The 18,523-nt window shown below is 37.9% G+C and overlaps 1 protein-coding gene across 1 annotated transcript in view, besides 2 other annotated features; it reads right to left on the bottom strand.

Moving 5' to 3' along the window:
• NET1 (neuroepithelial cell transforming 1) overlaps positions 1 to 16,356 on the bottom strand; it is a 46,500-nt gene extending 30,144 nt beyond the window's left edge. Inside the window, exons 1-2 of the mRNA NM_001047160.3 lie at positions 16,093 to 16,356; positions 2,192 to 2,258 (exon numbers count right to left, since the gene is read on the bottom strand). Coding sequence (NP_001040625.1) covers positions 2,192 to 2,258; positions 16,093 to 16,220 — 195 coding nt within the window. The 5' untranslated portion in view covers positions 16,221 to 16,356. The remainder of the gene's footprint in view (positions 1 to 2,191; positions 2,259 to 16,092) is intronic.
• Positions 7,530 to 7,699: an enhancer, noted in NCBI's record as "experimental_13203 CRE fragment used in MPRA reporter constructs". NCBI's record gives its function as "activates a minimal promoter by MPRAs in K562 erythroleukemia cells, with activity observed for both the introgressed and non-introgressed 10:5463262 variant alleles {active_cell/tissue: K562}" and the evidence as "EXISTENCE:reporter gene assay evidence [ECO:0000049][PMID:34662402]".
• Positions 16,015 to 16,444: a silencer, noted in NCBI's record as "silent region_2079". NCBI's record gives its function as "represses an Ori minimal core promoter by ATAC-STARR-seq in GM12878 lymphoblastoid cells {active_cell/tissue: GM12878}" and the evidence as "EXISTENCE:reporter gene assay evidence [ECO:0000049][PMID:35858748]".

The following is an 18,523-nucleotide window of genomic DNA, read 5'->3' as shown; positions in this document are numbered from 1 at the left end:
AAAATCCAAAAAAAAAAAAAAAATTAGCTGCGCGTGGTGACACACACCTGTAGTCCCAGCTACTCAAGAGGCTGAGGCAGGAGAATCGTTTGAACCTGGGAGGCAGAGGCTGCAGTGAGCCGAGATTGCGCCACTGCACTCCAGCCTGGGTGACAGAGCAAGATTTCCTCTCAAAAAAAAAAAAAAACAAAGAAAATTATCTTGAGGAGAGACGCTCATGAATTGTCTTTGGAATAGATACTATCTGAACAGTCTCCCCTGACTAAGTCATCACTGCTGTGAAGTGGCTACCCTATTAAAATACTACTTAAGTTTTTCAGAACAGAACTCTTATGTAAATCAAGGGCTGTCTGTACTTGTTAGAGAAAAAGTAAAAATTTTTTAAATATAAAATCAGCTAGTTTTTTTTTTTTGAAAAGGAACACATTATTTATCTTGGGGGCAAGGTCTTCACTAGAAAAAAAAAATCCTTTTCTCATGGCCCAAAGTAATTAAGATTTGTTGCCTGAGGCAGGATTGATTAACTAGAAGGTGAACAGCCATGTCCCTGGAGTACTTTCCACTTACCATTTATCACTTTCATTCAGCCCTTCTGGCACCAGTAGTGGCAAAACTGTGTACATATCTACCATTTCTGGTACTTAATTAATAGTGAATAAGCACCCACGGGTAACACTTCATTTTCCCACATCTCAAAATAACTTTTCAGGTTACCTACACAGCTTACTTCTTGGTAACTCTTAAAAAGTGACTAGTTAGGGTTCCCGTCAACTTCCTGGCCCCACAGTGAGGAGAAACTGCTGGGAATTGAATCAAAATTGAACAAGATAGGGCCAATAGAGAAGAAAAAAAAAAAAAAAAAAAAAAAAAAAAAGGAACGGCAAAGTCCAGATAGAAGTGGAGAAAGTAACAGAGCCAGGCAGTCTCAGAAAGCAAGCTACCATAAAAAACAACACGAAGGAGGGTTGTGAAGTCAGAAAAGCTATCTGAACCAAGATTTTGTGTACAAGTTGAAAACTAAATTCACACTAAAATGAACAGAAAATTCTCAAAGTCAAATTCTACACAATATCATTCTATGAAAAAAGAAAACAAGGAACAGAATCTATCCCCTAGGAAATGACTGCACACCAGGAGGAAATGCTCAAAGCAGCAGAGCAAAATTATAACACACTGTTTTGAATTGAGCTAAAAGACATTAGGAAAATGATCTAAGACATGAAAGAACAATATATATCAGAATGGAGGTGTTGGAACTCAAGAAATATTTTACTGATCCCAAGGTCATACCCAGAAGATACAGAAAATTATGAATAATATGATCCCAGGTTTGAAAGGCCAACTAACCATAAATCCTGCTTGTGTATTTATCTGTGAGCCTCTTTGTGTATATTAATGATATGAGCAAAATATAGAAGGATACATATGGTACTGTTGACATGGTTAGAGCAGAGCCTGGGAATGGACTAATATGGAGAAGGAGAAGAAGTGGGGAGGAAACTGCCTAGCAATATTAGACTGTACTAAGGGGAAAAAAGCACATATATGATCATACTTATGCATTTATATGAAATTATATTTTGAATCACTTTTGCTATTTTTCCTAGATAAGCATAAGAATCATGATCTATTTGTACGTACTTTATATATGTATTATGAGCTAATAAGTTTTAAGTACAAAAAGAATCAATTTTCTGTTATCACTTCACACAAAATTAAATGCCTCTGTAAAGTCCTGCTATAAAAATAATAGAGTCCCTCTATGCTGAGATGATTAATAGCAGAAAATCATTCATTATATATATTAAATATATATACACAATGTGCAATCAAGCATTTTTATATTTTCAACCAAGAAAAAAAGGCAGTAGAGGATGTATAAAAATAATTTCATGTTTCATAATATATTATCAGATTTAACATTGAAAGGAATAAGAGAAAGGATGGCATAGAGTTAAAGATTAATAGATGTGAGTACTTTGCAAAATATGTTTTATATTTACTTGAAACAAAAAGTTATTACAGCTTGTTAGCAGAAAAGGACTAAATTAGGCTGCCAAAGATGGTTACAGGAATTCTGTTCCTCAAGACCCTCAGAAGTAAGGACCACTGATCTGTGTAACAGACTGAAAGAAACCAGGGAATTAATTCTATCTAATGTCTCGAAATAAAAACCCAGGTATCTACTCACCAAAGTGAAGTCCCAGTTGGGGCCAGGTGTTAAGAATGTGAAGGAGCTGCCTCTCCGAAGGGAACATCTATTAATGGAAAATTCAAACAATAAATAAAGAGATTGACTTTAGCATAATAGAGCATCAAACAGATAAAAAGCTATACTTTTCATACTTTCAAAACCGTTTAAAGTGGCCTGATTTGTCATTCAATCTTAGTAATATGAGAGATGGTCTATATATATATAAAAAACAAACAAACAGGGTATAGGTTTTGGTCATTCTCAGCATCTTTAGAGTGAAAAGGCCTATATAAAATTAGTGAACAGATTATTTTAAAAAGTAATTTGCCAAACTCAACAGAGTTTACCTTAGGAACATACATATAGTTCAAAAACATGAAATATATTAATAGGTTAAATAAAAAACAGCAAACAAACTTCCTAAGTGCAAAAAATTTAGCAACATATTCACGTATAGTATTTTAAAAAACAAAAATAAAAGGATACTCTTAACAAAACCTAACTTCACATTATCTGCATTTCATGTAAATCCCTAATTTTTTAAAACTGCAATTTAACAAACAAAATACAAAGCTATGAATAACTACATTTGAGACAAAGATCTCAAGATTAAAATGTGATTAGAATTTTGTTCTTTACTATTAAAAGATTTTTCTGTGTTTCTTTTCCATTCAATGTAAACACATAAAGCAAGAAAGTCTTATGACAAAACCTGTCTTCACCTTTCTAAAATATAAGCCGCCATATGTTTATAAAGTATAAACCTCTGTGTTTATAAAATATGTAGAAATTACAAAAACATAGCTAGCACAAGAGATAAAGGCAGTTTATAAAGTGTATTTATTATTAATTACTTCAGATGTAAACAAATGTAGAATGAACACATTATTTTTTTCCTTGTGGAAATAAATGAAGATCAACCAAAAGAGAAAAGCAAAGGGTATTTATTCAGTGCTTGCTACAACAAGGGAGTCATCTATCGTCATTTGCATCTTGACAGAGACTAAAAGACAGGTAGACGAGTGTGAAGTTTCATAATGGAAAAAAGAGAAGGCTCAGGTATGGCCTGATGGAGGCTGTTGGCCTGTGGAGCTGTAGGCAGGCTAACTAGAAGTGGAGGCATCCTACTGTGATTGGTTAGGGGTATATCTGGCTTTCACAGGTTGGTTATGAATTGGAAGTGTGACAAAAATTAGGAAGCTGGCAGTTATTAATGAAGTCCTGGACATTTTAGGTCAATTGTTATGGTAGTTATTTGGCTTCTTGGACTGTGAAGTCATTGTCTGTTTATACATGTGATCCTTAAGCTTCATAGTCGTTGTTCATCAAGTTATAGAAACACCACTGATGAGTGTCTTTCCTGCAAAAATGTACAAGCTTAAACCAAATCAAGGGCTTCTGGAGTTTTCTAAGCTAAATATGAAGGAGAAATTTTGTTGTTGTTGTTGTTTTTGTTTTTTTTCCGACAAGGAACACAAAGGAAACTGGCTATAAGGTAAAAGAGGAGGTCTGGAAAGCTTCACAGATGAATTAATACTTAAGTAATACAAAGTATTACTGAATCTGAAAGAAAAATAGCAATTAACAAAGCATTAAGGTGGAGTGAAATGAGTTACATTCTGGAAACTGCAAGTAGTTCCTCACATTTGAGTAAAGAAATAAGGACGGGCTAAAGCATCATGAAAGGCCTCACTTACTGCACTCAGAGAGAATGGCCTTGATCTTGAGTATGTGTGGCAGCCATTGAATCTTAAGTAACGTGAACAATAGATTGTAAGAAGGCAAGACTGCTCAGTTGGGAGGCAGCTCTAATATTGCTTACAAAAGATGACTGGGGCTCTGGCAGCAGTAACAAGATTAGAGAGGAGAAGCTGATTTGAGAGACGGTTCGATGTCAAAATTGCCAGGAAAGACTTTCCCCTTTTCCTCCCTAAACCTGTTCAGTTATTACCAAGGTTCTTGACCTGGGGAAAATATGATGCCACTAACAGAAATTAGATGCAAAGATCTTAAGATATTTAAAACAAACATTTCCTAAATAATTATTTGGAGAAGATCAAAACACAGGAAGACTACTCATGGAGCTCAAACTATTTTTGACGGCCTCTTTAGTGGCGCAAAACAATCTAAGAAGCTGATTATTCCATCTTTTCTTGCTACTGCAGAAAAGTCAAGCATCAACAAAGAAAATGGTATTTTTTTCTTGAGAAAACCCTGGAACAAAGTATTTAAACAAAAAAAGTCATCTGAAATAAATTATAATTTGTATCAAGAAATACATAGGATTACTATCATAAACAAATGGTAAAATATTATGGAAAGACAGGACCTCTCTGTCATGAGTCCACAGATCACACTTAAAAATACTGCTCTAGGAATTAATACTCTTAGTGTATTAGGTGCTACTGTATGCTACATGGTTAGCAGGAGCCATCAGTGGGCACTGGCTTAAGAAAAAACAATTATGATGTCTCAGGTTATTTTAAATCTAATACAAATCTACATTACAAAGTGGCATTAACTGTGGCACTTAAAATATTCAGTAAATACTTCCTTTCAGGTTTAAGTATTAGGGAGCATTACAAAACCAAAGCTACTAATTTCTTTATTCCCTAGAAATGACCACACTAACCTCAGAATGCATTTGGCATCTAAAAGCTGGAAAGAAAAATGGTTCTTAAGAATTTTTAAAAGGTTAACTGGAAAAATATTTCCAATCATATGATAAAATTCTTTCCAGCAGTATCTGTAACCAGCTTTACAGTAATGCTATTTTTTCCCACTTCAATAACAAGATTCTATTTATTTTGAATACCCATGGAAAAAAGGAACCCAAAAAACAAACCGTGCCCACAAAGGATGTGAGACAGTGCCAACTTTCACAAATCTTGGAAAGACATATACTCATTTTTTCACAAGCGTCAGACTCAAAATGTAATAGCTATTTTAAATCCTTGTGGGGAAAAAAATGATTTCATAAAACATTAAGATTGCAAGTTATTTTTCCAGAGGATACACAGAATAACCTCCTAAAAAGGAGGGCTTAAAGGATGAAATGTAGAGCGAAAAGTGGCAGTCCACCTTTTCAAGAATTTTTGTCCATATATCCAATGTATTTTTCTATATATCCAAATAATTACAACATTTAAGGAATAAAATAAACTAATACATTAAGGAATTAGCTTAGTGTATTAAATTAAGTTCCCGATTTGACTCCTGTAGATTTTCCTTGGCCTTTAATGTTTTCCTTTCATATCATTTGGTATGTTTTTGAACAATGTATTTACACTAAATTAGGTTTAGTCTAAAGAAATCATAATTAAAATGATAAAGCTGCTGTTCAAAAGAAAAGCATCTTGTTAATTCATTCTTAAGCCAAATTATGTTTTCAGAGTTTCTGATTTGTGTCACCACCTCCTCCATCATGCCAGATAAGACCTGACCTGAAATTATAAATATTTTCAAAAAACGTATTGAAAATTACTATTACCAACAGGAAAAAAGCATTCTTAAAAGCATAATTTACCCTCAAGATGCATTCACCATAAAAAATGGATGTAGAATGAAAACGAGTTTCAGAAAAAGATTTTAAAAAGGATAATGTTATCATTTATTGGGTGCCTACTATGTGACAAGCACTGTACATATACTCTTATCCTAAAAATAACATTTTTTCCAATTAAATAAAAAATGTAATCTGTAAATGCCAAACATATAAAAAGAATTATACCATACATGTAAAAAGAATGGTATAATTTATCCTCTGCAGTTAACACTTTTTACATTTGGGGTGTGCCAAGCAACTGAGGTTCTCAATTTCTTTGCAAATCAGGCAAAAACAAACTAAATTATTATAGAAACAATTCATTTATTTGGGTCAAATATCTGATGTAGTAGACATCCACTACTGTTTTGGCTGTTCAGCATCTTTGCTATTAAGGAGTTGTCTCTTCTTCCACTTCTGACAATCATGTAGACTATGTCTCCTATCATACTAGGGTTTTCTCATCTGCATGAGAGTCTCAACTAATACATACATCTTGGAATATCTTGTCTAGAACACAGTTGAGCATCTAGAAACCAGCAAACACCACCCCCAAAGCACCCCAGACATCCTAATGTCCTGCATTAATTCTCAGGCCTTGCCCACAGCAGCAAATTCAGGGAAGAGGGAACAGGGGATAATGACAACAGCAAGTAACAGAAGGAAAGAGAAATTCTGAAGGCTTCCATCATTAACAATCCAGTACTCTTTGGAAACAGTGTGGCAATTCCTTAAGATGTTAGTGGTAAGTTTACCGTAGGACCTGATAATTCCACCCCCAAGAATTTACCCAAGAGGAGTGAAAACGTATGTCTACACAAAGACTTTTTTTTTTTTTGAGACGGAGTTTTGCTCTGTCACCCAGGCTGGAGTGCAGTGGTACGATCTCGGCTCACTACAACCTCCGCCTCCAGGGTTCAAGCGATTCTCCTGCCTCAATCTCCCGAGTAGCTAGGATTACAGGGGCACGCCACCATGCCCAGCTAAATTTTATATTTTTAGTAGAGACAGGCCATGTTGACCAGGCTGGTCTCGAACTCCTGACCTCAGGTGATCCACCCGCCTCGGCCTCCCAAAGTGCTGGGATTATAGGCGTGAGCCACCGCGCCCAGCCTACACTAAGACTTACATGCAAATGTTCATAGCAGCATTATCCATAAAAGCACCAAACTGGAAACAAATCAAATGTACAACAGCTGGTAAATGGAGTTGACAAAATGTAGTATATTCATATAATGGAATATGGTTTGGCAATAAAATGAAATACTGATGTAAGTGAAAGAAGGCAGAAGCAGAAAGACTACACATTGTATGATTCCACTTGTATGTCCTGAAAATAGAAATTTATAGAGCTAGAAAGCAGATCAGTGGCTGCCTAGGGCTGGGGTGGGAGCAGGGATATTTGGGGTGATGAAATGTTCTAACAATGGATTGTGGTAATGACTGCACAACTCTATAAATTTACTGATAATTACTGAATTGTTCACCTACAAAGGGTGAATGTTATGATATACAAATCATATCTCAATAAACTATTTAAAAACATAGTCAACTTATTTGGGACCACATGGCCTTACAAGCTTCTGTGAGCATGCCTTTTATTTTTGGCAACTACTACTACTAATAATAAAGATCCTGGGTTGTCAAGAATTGATTTAAGGCTATACCTTTAACTGGATATCCACTGTACAAATCCATCAATTAATTTTACTGGAAAAACAAAATTCAAAGAGTAAGCCTTATCACTGTTGGTAGATCATAGGTCATACTATTATTTTTCTACCAATGGACAGCATTATTTCAAATCTGCAAAAAAGGAAAATATAAAATCCTTAAAAGGATCAGTATGTATTTATATTTCTGCCATATGGGTGATATGTAAAGTTCTATGGCTTTCCCTAAGGCCCCGAAAGACAGAAATAAAATTATTTAAACATTACTTGTGTCCAATTTTCAGGACCTTAGACATAGGTACTATGAAGTGAGATTTAGAGACTAAGTAACTTGCCCAAGGTCCTTAAGAGCCAGAATTTGAACCTAGGAAGTCTGACTGCTTTTAATGCCTAAAATCTTTAAACGTTACTCTTTGTCTATGGGTTCTAGTCTAAAAGAATGTTAAAAGAATATACATTCTCAAAGGAGAAGACAGAAAATAATTAGGTAAATCAAAGCTGAGGCCAGAACAGACTTGGTATCAAAAAAACTAGGCCAGAAAAGCAGTCCTCGTTCTGAGCTCTCAATCATGTAGTATAACCTAGGGTTCTTTAGAAAGACCCTTGCTGGCCGGGCACAGTGACTCATACTTGTAATCCCAGCACTTTGGGAGGTCAAGGTGGGCGGTTCACGAGGTCAGGAGATCAAAACCATCCTGGCCAACATGGTGAAACCCCGTCTCTACTAAAAATACAAAAATTAGCTGGGCGTGGTGGCGCTTGCCTGTAATCCCAGTTACTCGGGAGGCTGAGGAAGGAGGATCACTTGAACCAGGGAGTCGGAGGCTACAGTGAGCCGAGATCGCGCCACTGCACTCCAGCCTGGCGACAGAGCAAGACTCCATCTCAAAAATAAATAAAAAAATAAAATAAAAAAGAAAGACCTTTGCCTACTACCCAGAACTGGGAGGTGAGGAGAAAGACGTTAAGAGGCCTGTCATATTGTAGGGAATATCTACATAGAAAACATAACTGCTGCCCCAGAGAAACTTGCACAGGTGTATAGAGGAGATGTATCAACAAACAACCTAAAATCCCAAATACATCTTATACAACATACCAAATATATTCCACCTGAGTTATAAAAATTGTATATTATAATATCTCACTGTACAGAATATCATAATGTATTTAGCTTCCTCCTCCTGTTTTTTCTAACCTTTCTACTACACAAATGTGCTAGGATATACTTTCTTGTACATACATCCATGTATACTTGCCCATTACTTTAAGATAAATTTCTGTGGGTAGAACTGCTTGGTTTAAATATTTGCATTAAAATTTTGTTTTATTTGCTATATTTCCCTTCAAATACACATAATGGGAATATCAGAAAGAGAGGAAAAGAGAAAAGAGCAGAAAAAAACTTCAGAGAAACAATGGCTGAAGCTTCTCCAAATTTATTGAAAAACAACCACCTACACATTCAGAAAAAGCTCAATAAACTTCAAGTAAGATAACACAAAGATATCCACAGACAGACACATCATAGTAAAAATGGCAAAAGTTAAAGATAAGAAAATCTTAAAAGCAGCAAGAGAAAAAAACACTTGTTATTTACAAGGAACCCCAAAAAGATTCTGACTTCTTAACAGAAACAATGGAAGACAGAAGCAGTGTGATAACACATTCAAAGTGCTCAAAGAAAAAGAAAATTTCAGCAAAGAATCCTATACTATCAAAATTATCTTTCGAGAATGAAGGAGAAACAAAGACATTCCCATAAAAACAACAACAACAACAACAACAACAACAAAACAAAGAAAAAAAACAAACAGAGAATTTGTTGGTAGCGGACTTGCCTTACAAGAAATACCATAAGAATTTCTGGCTGAAAGCCAGTGACCACAGACGGTAATCTGAGTTCACATACAAAACCCAAAAAAGCCTAGTAAAAGCAGTGTCAATGAAAAAAATCAGTAAAGAAATTCAAATGCTATAAATTAGAAAATTCTCACTTAATGCAAAAGAAAGCAATAAAGGAGGAATAGAGAAACAAAAGACATATATAACACGACAAAATGGCAGACATAAATCCAACTATATCAATAAATAACGTTAAATGTGATTGGAGTAAACAACCCAATCAAAAGAAATGGACAGCCAGACAGGATCAAAACCAACCAACCAACCAACCAACCAACCAACCAACCAACCAAGATCCAACTATATGCTGTCCACAGGAGACACACTTTAGTTTCACAGATATAAACAGCTTGAAAATAAAGGGATAAACACGTATCATGCAAACAGCAAGCCACAAGAAAGCTAGAGTAGCTATATTAACATCAAACAAAATGGCCTTTCAAAGAAAAAAATGTTACCAAAGAGGGATATTTTATAGTGATAAACAGATTGATCCATCAGGAAGATACAATTACAAACATATGTGCATATAAAAACAGCACAATCTCAATAAATGTAAAAGGATAGAAATAATACATAATACAAAGTGTATTTTCCAGCTGCAATGTAATGAAATTAGAAAAAATTTGTGAAAGTCACAATTATGTGGAAATTAAACAATTCATTCCTAAATAACTAATGGCTCAAAGAAGTCAAAAAGAAATCAGAATTTGAGATTAATGATAGTGAAGACACAATATATCAAAATTTATGAGATGCAGCTAAAGCAATGCTCAGAGGGAAATTTATAGCTGTATCCCTATATTAAGAAAAAGATCTCAAATCAGTAACTTAATCTATAATCATGACACTGGAAACAAAAAGGGCCAACTAAACCTAAAGCATGCAGACTAATCTGAGCAGATTACTCAGATTACTAAGCAGGAAGAAGGAAACAATAAGGATTAAAGTGAAAATAAAACAAAGAATAGAAGAACAAAGAAAATTAATGAAGCTAAAATCACATTCTTTGGAAAGATCAAGATTGACAAGACTGTAGCTAGATTGACCATCATCATAAAAAGAAAGAAGACACAAATTACAAGAATCAGAAATAAAAGAGGGGACATTACTATTGACATTACATGAAAAGGATTATAAAGAAATACTATGAACAAGGAAGGGTACACCAACAAATTAGATAACTTTGATGAAACAAATTCCTAAAGAGATACAACCTACTGAAACTGACTTAATAAGAAACAAACTATCAGAAGACACCTACAACAAGAGATGAGATTGAATTAATAATAATAATAAACTATCCACAGAGAAAAGTCTAGGCCTAGGTGGCTTTACACTGAATTCTACCAAACATTGAAAGAATACCAATTCTTCACAAACTCTTTCAAAAAAAACAAAACAGTAGGGAATACTTCTTAACTGATTTTATGAGGCCAGTATTATCCCAATACCAAAACCAGACAAGCATAGTACAAGATAATAAAACTACAGATCAATATCTTATGAATATATATACAAAAATATTCAACAAAATATTAACAAAATGGATCCAACAATATATTTAAAAAAGCTATACACAATGACCAAGCAGGACTTATACCAGGAAGGCAAAGTTGGTTTAACATCCCAAAAAATCAATTAATGTAACACATCAGTAATAACAACAACCACATGATCATTTCAATAGACAAAAGAAAAAAAACCCTAAAACCTTTCATGATAAAAACCACTCAAAAACTAGTAACAGAATGGAACTTCCTCAACCTGATAAAGGACATCTACAAAGCTTACAACTAACATCATACTTAATGGTGAAAGATTGTATGCTTTCCCCTTAAGATCAGAAACAAGACAAGAATTTCCCGTCTCTCCACTTCTGTTCAGCGTTGTACAGGAGGCCCTACCCAGGGCAATTAGGAAAGAGAAAAAAGTAAAGGGCATCCAGAGATTGGAAAAAGAAGTAAAACTATTTTTATTTGCTGATGACATGACCCTGTACACAGAAAGTCCTAAAGAAACCACTAAAAAACTATTAGAACTAATGAGCTCAGCAAGGTAGCAGGATCCAAGATCGATATACAAAAATCAATTGTATGTATTCCTATACAATTGAAATTATTAAACTGAAAATAAAGTGATACAAAGCGGGGCAGGGAAGTGCTGCGTAGAGGAGAGCGTGGTCCCTTGCTAGGGCTCCATCCCCAGGCCTGGGCCCACGGACCTAAGTGAGGATAGGCATTTCTGTTTTCCTACCCAAATGTTGCATTTCCCAAGACCACCCTGGCTCACCACACCCCCATCCTGTGCCTATAAAAGCACGCCCCCACCTGTGCCTATAAAAACCCCCCGAGACCCTAGCAGGCAGACACACAGGTGGCTGGATGTCAAGAGGAACACATCGACGTGGGAGTACACCAGCACGCTGGCAGGCCAGCTGGCAGGCCATCGATTCGCAGAATGACGCAGAGCTTGGCCAGGGAGGTTGGAGGAGAATCGGGCAACCTGACACCAGGGCAAAACCATTTCCCTTCTGGCTCCCCCATCTGCTGAGAGCTACTTCCACTCTATAAAAGCTTGCAATCATTATCCAAGCCAACGTGTCATCTGATTGTTCCAGTACATCAAGGCAAGAACCCTGGGATACAGAAGGCCCCCTGTCCTTGAAATAAGGCAGGGGTCTAACTGAGCTGATGAATACAAGCCGCCTACGGATGGCTAAACTAAGAGTACCCTGTAACACAAGCCCACTGAGGCTTCAGCTGTAAACATTCACCCATAGACATGGCTATGGGGTTGGAGCCCCACAGCCTGCCTATCTATATGTTCCCCTAGAGGTTTGAACAGCAGGGCACCGAAGAAGCGAGCACACCTCCAGTGCACGCCCTGCGAGGGGGAAAAGGGAACTTTTCCCATTTCAAAAGAAATGAATCCATTTACAACTGCATCAAAAAGAACAAAATACTTAGGAATAAATTTAGCAAAACATGCAGAACTATACTCTGAAAACTACAAAACACTGTTGAAAATAATTAAAGATCTAAATAATTGGAAAAACATCCCTTGTCCATGGATCAGACTACTTAACTCTCTGTAGAGGGCAATACTCCTGAAAATGATCTACAAGATTTAATGCAATCTCTATCAGAATCCCTGTGGACTCCTTTGTAAAAATCGATTAAGCTGATTCTAAAATTCACATAGAATTGCAGGAGACCCAGGATAGCCACAACAATCTTGGGAAAAAAAGAACAAAGTAGGAGGACTCACATATCCCAATTTCAAAACTTACTATACAAAGCAACGGTAATCAAAACACCATGGTAATGGCATAGGGCTATTACATATAGATCAAGAGAATAAAAGTCAAAGTCTAAAAATAAACTCTCATGCTTAAGGTCAACTGATTTTTGACAAGGGTGCTAAGACTACTCAGTGGGAGAAAGAACAGTCTTCAAAAAATGGTGCTGGGGTACCTGGATAGACACATGAAAAAGAATTAAGTTGGACCGTCATCTCACATTATATACAAAAACTAACTCAAAATGGATTAAAGACCCAAATATAAAAGCTAAAATGATAAAATTCTCAGAAGAAAGCACTGGGGAAAGGATTCATAACAATGGATTTAGCAGTGATTTCTTGGATGTGACACCAAAACACAGGCAACAAAAGCAAAAATAGACAAGTAGGACTACAAACTAAAACATTTTTGTGCTTCGAAGCACATCATGAAAGTGAAAAGACAAACCACAGAATAAGAGAAAATATTTGCAAATAATCTATCTGATAAGGGACTTGTATCCAGAATAAAGAACTCTTAACAACTCAATAAAAAAGAAATTTAAAAATGAACAGGGCCAGGTGCGGTGGCTCACGCCTGTAATCCCAGCACTTTGGGAGGCCGAGGCAGGCAAATCACAAGGTCAGGAGTTCAAGACCAGCCTAGCCAACATGGTGAAACCCTGTCTTTACTAAAAATACAAAAAATTAGCCACACGTGGTGACACATGCCTGTAGTTCCAGCTACTTGGTAGGCTGAGGCAGGAGAATCACTTGAACCCGGGAGGCGGAGGTTGCAGTGAGCCGAGATCATGCCACTGTACTCCAGCCCCGGTGACAGACTGAGACTCCGTCTCAAAAGAAAAAAAAAAAAGAGCAAAGGATGGCCCACCAAAAATGGCCACACACATTACATAAATCCATTCATATGCAATGTCCAGAACAGAGAAATTCCTACAGACCGACAGATTAGGTTTTAGGGCAGAAGGGGTAGGAGAGGAACAATAGCTAAAGGGTACAAATGCTCTTTTTGAGGTGATGAAAATGTTCTAAGTAGTACAATTTAAGTGGGTAAATTGTACTGTACGTATTTGTCTTTCAAATTAGTTTATACTGAGTTTTGCCTGCAGAACGTTTTTCAATAGTCACATAATCATACACACAAATCTTTTTCCTTATGATTTCTGAATCTGATACAGTGCTTAGTTGCTTCTTGCCTCACAATTAATACTATCTTGTAATATTTTACGTATTCTTGTAGATGATCTTACATCTTTTCTGGAAAAGGAATATGTTATTTAATTCTCCATTTTCTCTCCATGGTTCTTCTAACTGTGTCTCACTCTCCTCATGCTGCCTGTGTTACTACGCTTTTCTCACAATGTATCATTTCCTACCTCACACAAAAAATAGAGGCCTGGTGGGAAAGTCCTCAAATTCCTGCTCACAACACACCCCATTCTTCAAAACTATATATCATCCATAGCTTCTTGTTAGGCTAAATCCTCTACCTTGAATTTGGATTCTGTCCTTTTCTGCCTTCTTGGATCCTTGTTCAACCATTTTTCTCCTCTACTGTCTGTTCAACCTCTCCCTCTATTTGTTAACTCAGCACAGCACATCAAGGGAATTTATTCTTTCTTAAGAGTCTATCCCACAAAATTGTGTTATTTCTCTCTATTCTTTCTTGTCTTCCTGTTGCAGTGAAACTTCTCTTCACCAATCCCATTGCCAGCTATCAGATTCGAACAATCATTTTTTCATTTAGACTACTGCAGACTGATTTCCTACCAATCCATCAGCTAAACTTGGAAATTTTAATTTGGTATACACAGCTGGGTCCACAAATCTCCTGAAATGTTTATGTATATGTGCACATTTTTGGGGAATAGTTTTCATAAAATATGAAGAGTGAGATGACTCCAAAATGTTGCTTATTTTTCTCATGGAAGGCAAACTGATCTTTTAAAATGCAAATATGTCATGCCATTGGCTCATTTAAAGTCTTTCAGTATTTCCCCATTACCATGAAGATAAAACCCAAACTCTGTCAAGGCATACAAGGTCTCTTCATGATGTGGCGCTTACCTCTTTAGCATCATCTCTCATGACTACCTCCTCCTTCTCCCCATATTGGTTTCCTCTCCTCTATACAAATATCACTGTTAATATAGTAATAAAATAGAATATATACCCAGAACTCATCAGACTCATTTGCTTCAGGGCCTTTCTACATGCTTCTCTGCCTGAAATCATCCATTTACATCTGCTCTCTAAACTGGTCCTTAAAGACTCAGGGATTACAATAGGAAATCATTTCCTATTCTCTCCAGTCAGGATTAAGTGTTCCTTTTAATCTACGGCATTCTGTGTATATCACTATAATAACTTTTATCACATATTATAATAATTATTAACCTACTTATCTTTCTTCCCCACTAGATTATAAATCTTAAATAGTAACAAGAGTATTTTTCCATTTCCATATTCCTAGTGTTGGCACTCACATTATTTTCTGAACAAATCGCACATTCTCTTCTCAACCTGTTGCAAAACACTCTAAGTTCGATATTGTAACCATTCTTGGAAACCATCTAAGATCAATACTCTCTTCTCATTACCAAATTTAATTTTCATTCCTCATCTAGCTTAATCCTCATCTTATTTTACTTAATCCTCATTTTATTTGACCTATCAATAACATCTGACATAGCTCGCCACGTCCTCTTCTTGAAATTCTTTCTTCATTTGGCCTCCTGGATACTGTTCTCACTTGGTTCCCTTCCTCCTAATTCACTAGCTATCCCCTGAGCTTCGCTTTGTGAAATTTCACTGAGCCAAACACGAGTCATACACTCTCATTTCAATGTATACTTCCACAAAAAGTAAAAAGAAAAAACACGAAAATGGTTGTGATGAACTCTCTAATAGGCATCTCATAACATATCCCGAAGTCAACTTATCCCTTAGTCTTTTCTTTCTCAGGACATGGAAGCCCATTCTCGTGGTGCTCACCATGACAGTTTCGGTCTGAGCAAAGGCATTTGGGAACGCCAGCCTACAGCCAGTTGGGTGTGCAGAACAAAACCATTGTGGTTTTTCCTAAGTCTCCCCTGAGAAACAGTCAGGAGGCGAGGAGACTCAATAAACCCGCCCCTTTGCCACAGGCAGGGAAAATCGCAGTTTGGGGTCTCAGGACCGACCTCGGTCCAAGGCCAGGCACACTGTCACTCCAGCCTGTGCCACCCTCACTTCCAGCGGCCCCCGTCCCCCCCCCCAACCCCGCGGTCACCTCCCCCACCCCCCACTCACCTCCCAGCGGCCCTCGCCTCCCCCTGGCCCTCACCAACACCCCCACTCGCCGCCCCCCACATCCAACTCCCGGCCAGCCCTCCCCTCCCCCCGGCCCTTGCCTCTCCAACACTCACCTCCCGTTCGGCCCTCCGCTCCCCTACACTCACCTCCCGTTCGGCCCTCCCCTCCCCCACACTCACCTCCCGTCCAGCTCCGACCCGGAGGTGTCGGCCGAAGGCCCCGTCGCTCCCTCCGTGCTGAGCCCAGAGGCCCGGCGGCTTCGCCTCCGCGGTCGAGGCTGCTTCTGAGCCGCCAGCTCGGGCTCCATGGCACGGAGGAGGGGGTGGGGCGGTGGCCGGGTGCCCGGGAGACCGGCAGGGACGGGCACGATGCCCGCCAGCCTCTGCCAGGCAGAAAGCGCCTGTCAGCGGACTGCAGCCGCCACCGCCGTCATCCGGGGATTTGAAAATGGCGGCTGAGCAGCGATCAGCCAATCAGTGAGCGCGCAGCGGTTCCTAGGAGACGTGGAGTCCCGCCCCTCCACCGCTCCCGGGATCTACTTGCCTAGGAAAGAACCTAGGAAAATTTGCCCTTAACTCCTGAGCGCATCCCTGAGTCCCTAAGGCCCGGTACCTCCTTCATTGTTCATTAGGACTTTCACTACAGGCCAAGGCAAATGGACTGGAAGCATTTTAATTCACCAGATCTTTCTTAGCATTTGAGGAGAAGAGAGGTCCAAACTAATGACCTGTAAACAAGGCATGTTTATTGGCCATATTCACACTGAATTATTGTGCACGTGGCCAATATGAGATATATTTCCAATTACCAAAGGTTATGCAAGTGTGTTCCCGGGACTGTCTCTAGGGAACCAGCAAAATCTAATTATGAGCCCTTATGTCTTCCAATAAGCATGACACAGTCTCTCCCTAGCAAAACAGAATGAAGTGACTTCATCCTTTGCTTGTAAAAGTCAGCAAAAGACATAATATAAAATAAAAGACCGCTTCAAGTAAAAAAAAAATTGTTAAACAAATTACACTTTCTTTGATTTTAAATATTGCTTTATATGTGTCAAAGTCTTTAAAAATAGCTTCTCCTGACCGGGCGCTGTGGCTCACGCCTGTAATCCCAGCACTTTGGGAGGCTGAGGCAGGCGGATCACGAGATCAGGAGATCAAGACCATCCTGGCCAACATGGTGAAACCCTGTCGCTACTAAAATACAAAACTTAGCTGGGCAGAGTGGCGCATGCCTGTAATCCCAGCTACTCAGGAGGCTGAGGCAGGAGAATTAGTTGAACCAGAGAGTCGGAGCTTGAATTGAGCCAAGACCGTGCCACTGCACTCCAGCCCAGTGACAGAGCGAGACTCCGTCTCCAAAAAAAAAAAAACAAAAAAACACTTCTCTTTTGCCAGTATATTTCCACTTATGGAAATTTATCCTAAAAAATAAAATTATATAAACATGAAGCTATTAATGACATTGTTTATAATAGAAACATTTAAAACAACCTAAATAAACAATGATTTATAGCTCATCCACTGAGAAGAATATTTTCAGCCAACAAAAATGAAGTGTGAAGTATGTAATAGTATACTGGTAATTTGAAATAAAAACATGAAGTATAGAGGTATATTCAGTATATTCAAAGTTATGAATTACAAGAGATTATACAAAGAAAAAAGATAATGTATTAAAATGTATTAAATGTATTAAAAAGTCAATGTATTAAAATGTCTCTAGGTAGACTTTAGGTATTCAAAATTTTTATTTTTATTTTTTGCATTTAATTTTTTTAAAAATAAGGACATATTGAATTTGCAGTACCTTTATAACATGAGGGAAAAATGTTTTTGTTTTAAAAAGAGTAAGAAATTAGGGAGTAACATTGAGATGTGAAGCCAGCTAGACTTCCTGGGTAGAGTGGGGACTTGGAGAACTTTTCTGTCTGGCAAGAGGATTGTAAAACACACCAATCAGTGCTCTGTAGCTAGCAAGAGGATTGTAAAATGCACCAATCAGTGCTCTGTAAAAAGCACCAATCAGCAGGACCCTAAAAGTAGCCAATCACAGGGAGGATTGAAAAAAGGGCACTCTGATAGGACAAAAATGGAACATGGGAGGGCACATATAAGGGAATAAAACCTGGCCACCCCAGCCAGCAGGGCAACCCACTGGGGTCCCCTTCCACACTGTGGAAGCTTTAGTTCTTTCACTCTTTACAATAAATCTTGCTGCTGCTCACTCTTTAGGTCTGTGCCACCTTTAAGAGCTGTAACACTCACCATGAAGGTCCATGGCTTCATTCTTGAAGTCAGCGAGACCATGAACCCACCGGAAGGAACCAGCTCTGAACATAAGTTGACCTTGGTCAAGAACCACTTCTGTTCTACCTTCCCCATCCCTCCCCAAAAATTAAAGAAGAAAGTACTGCTTTGTAGCAGTTAGAGTGTAAGAATACAGAAATGTTCTTAATATTTGGGGAGTTGGTCTCCACCAAGACAGAGCTTCAGAGGATGCAGATGTTTAGATTATGAACAAAAATAAACCTGTAAGAGCAATTCTTCAAGTCAGGTCCCAAGTAGGTCACAACTACTCTGTGTCCAGAAAACTCACACCCCTTTGGGA

The sequence above is a fragment of the Homo sapiens genome, chromosome 10, assembly GCF_000001405.40.
Source record: "Homo sapiens chromosome 10, GRCh38.p14 Primary Assembly".
Lineage (NCBI taxonomy): Eukaryota > Metazoa > Chordata > Mammalia > Primates > Hominidae > Homo > Homo sapiens.
This window is presented reverse-complemented; position numbering and strand designations above follow the sequence as displayed.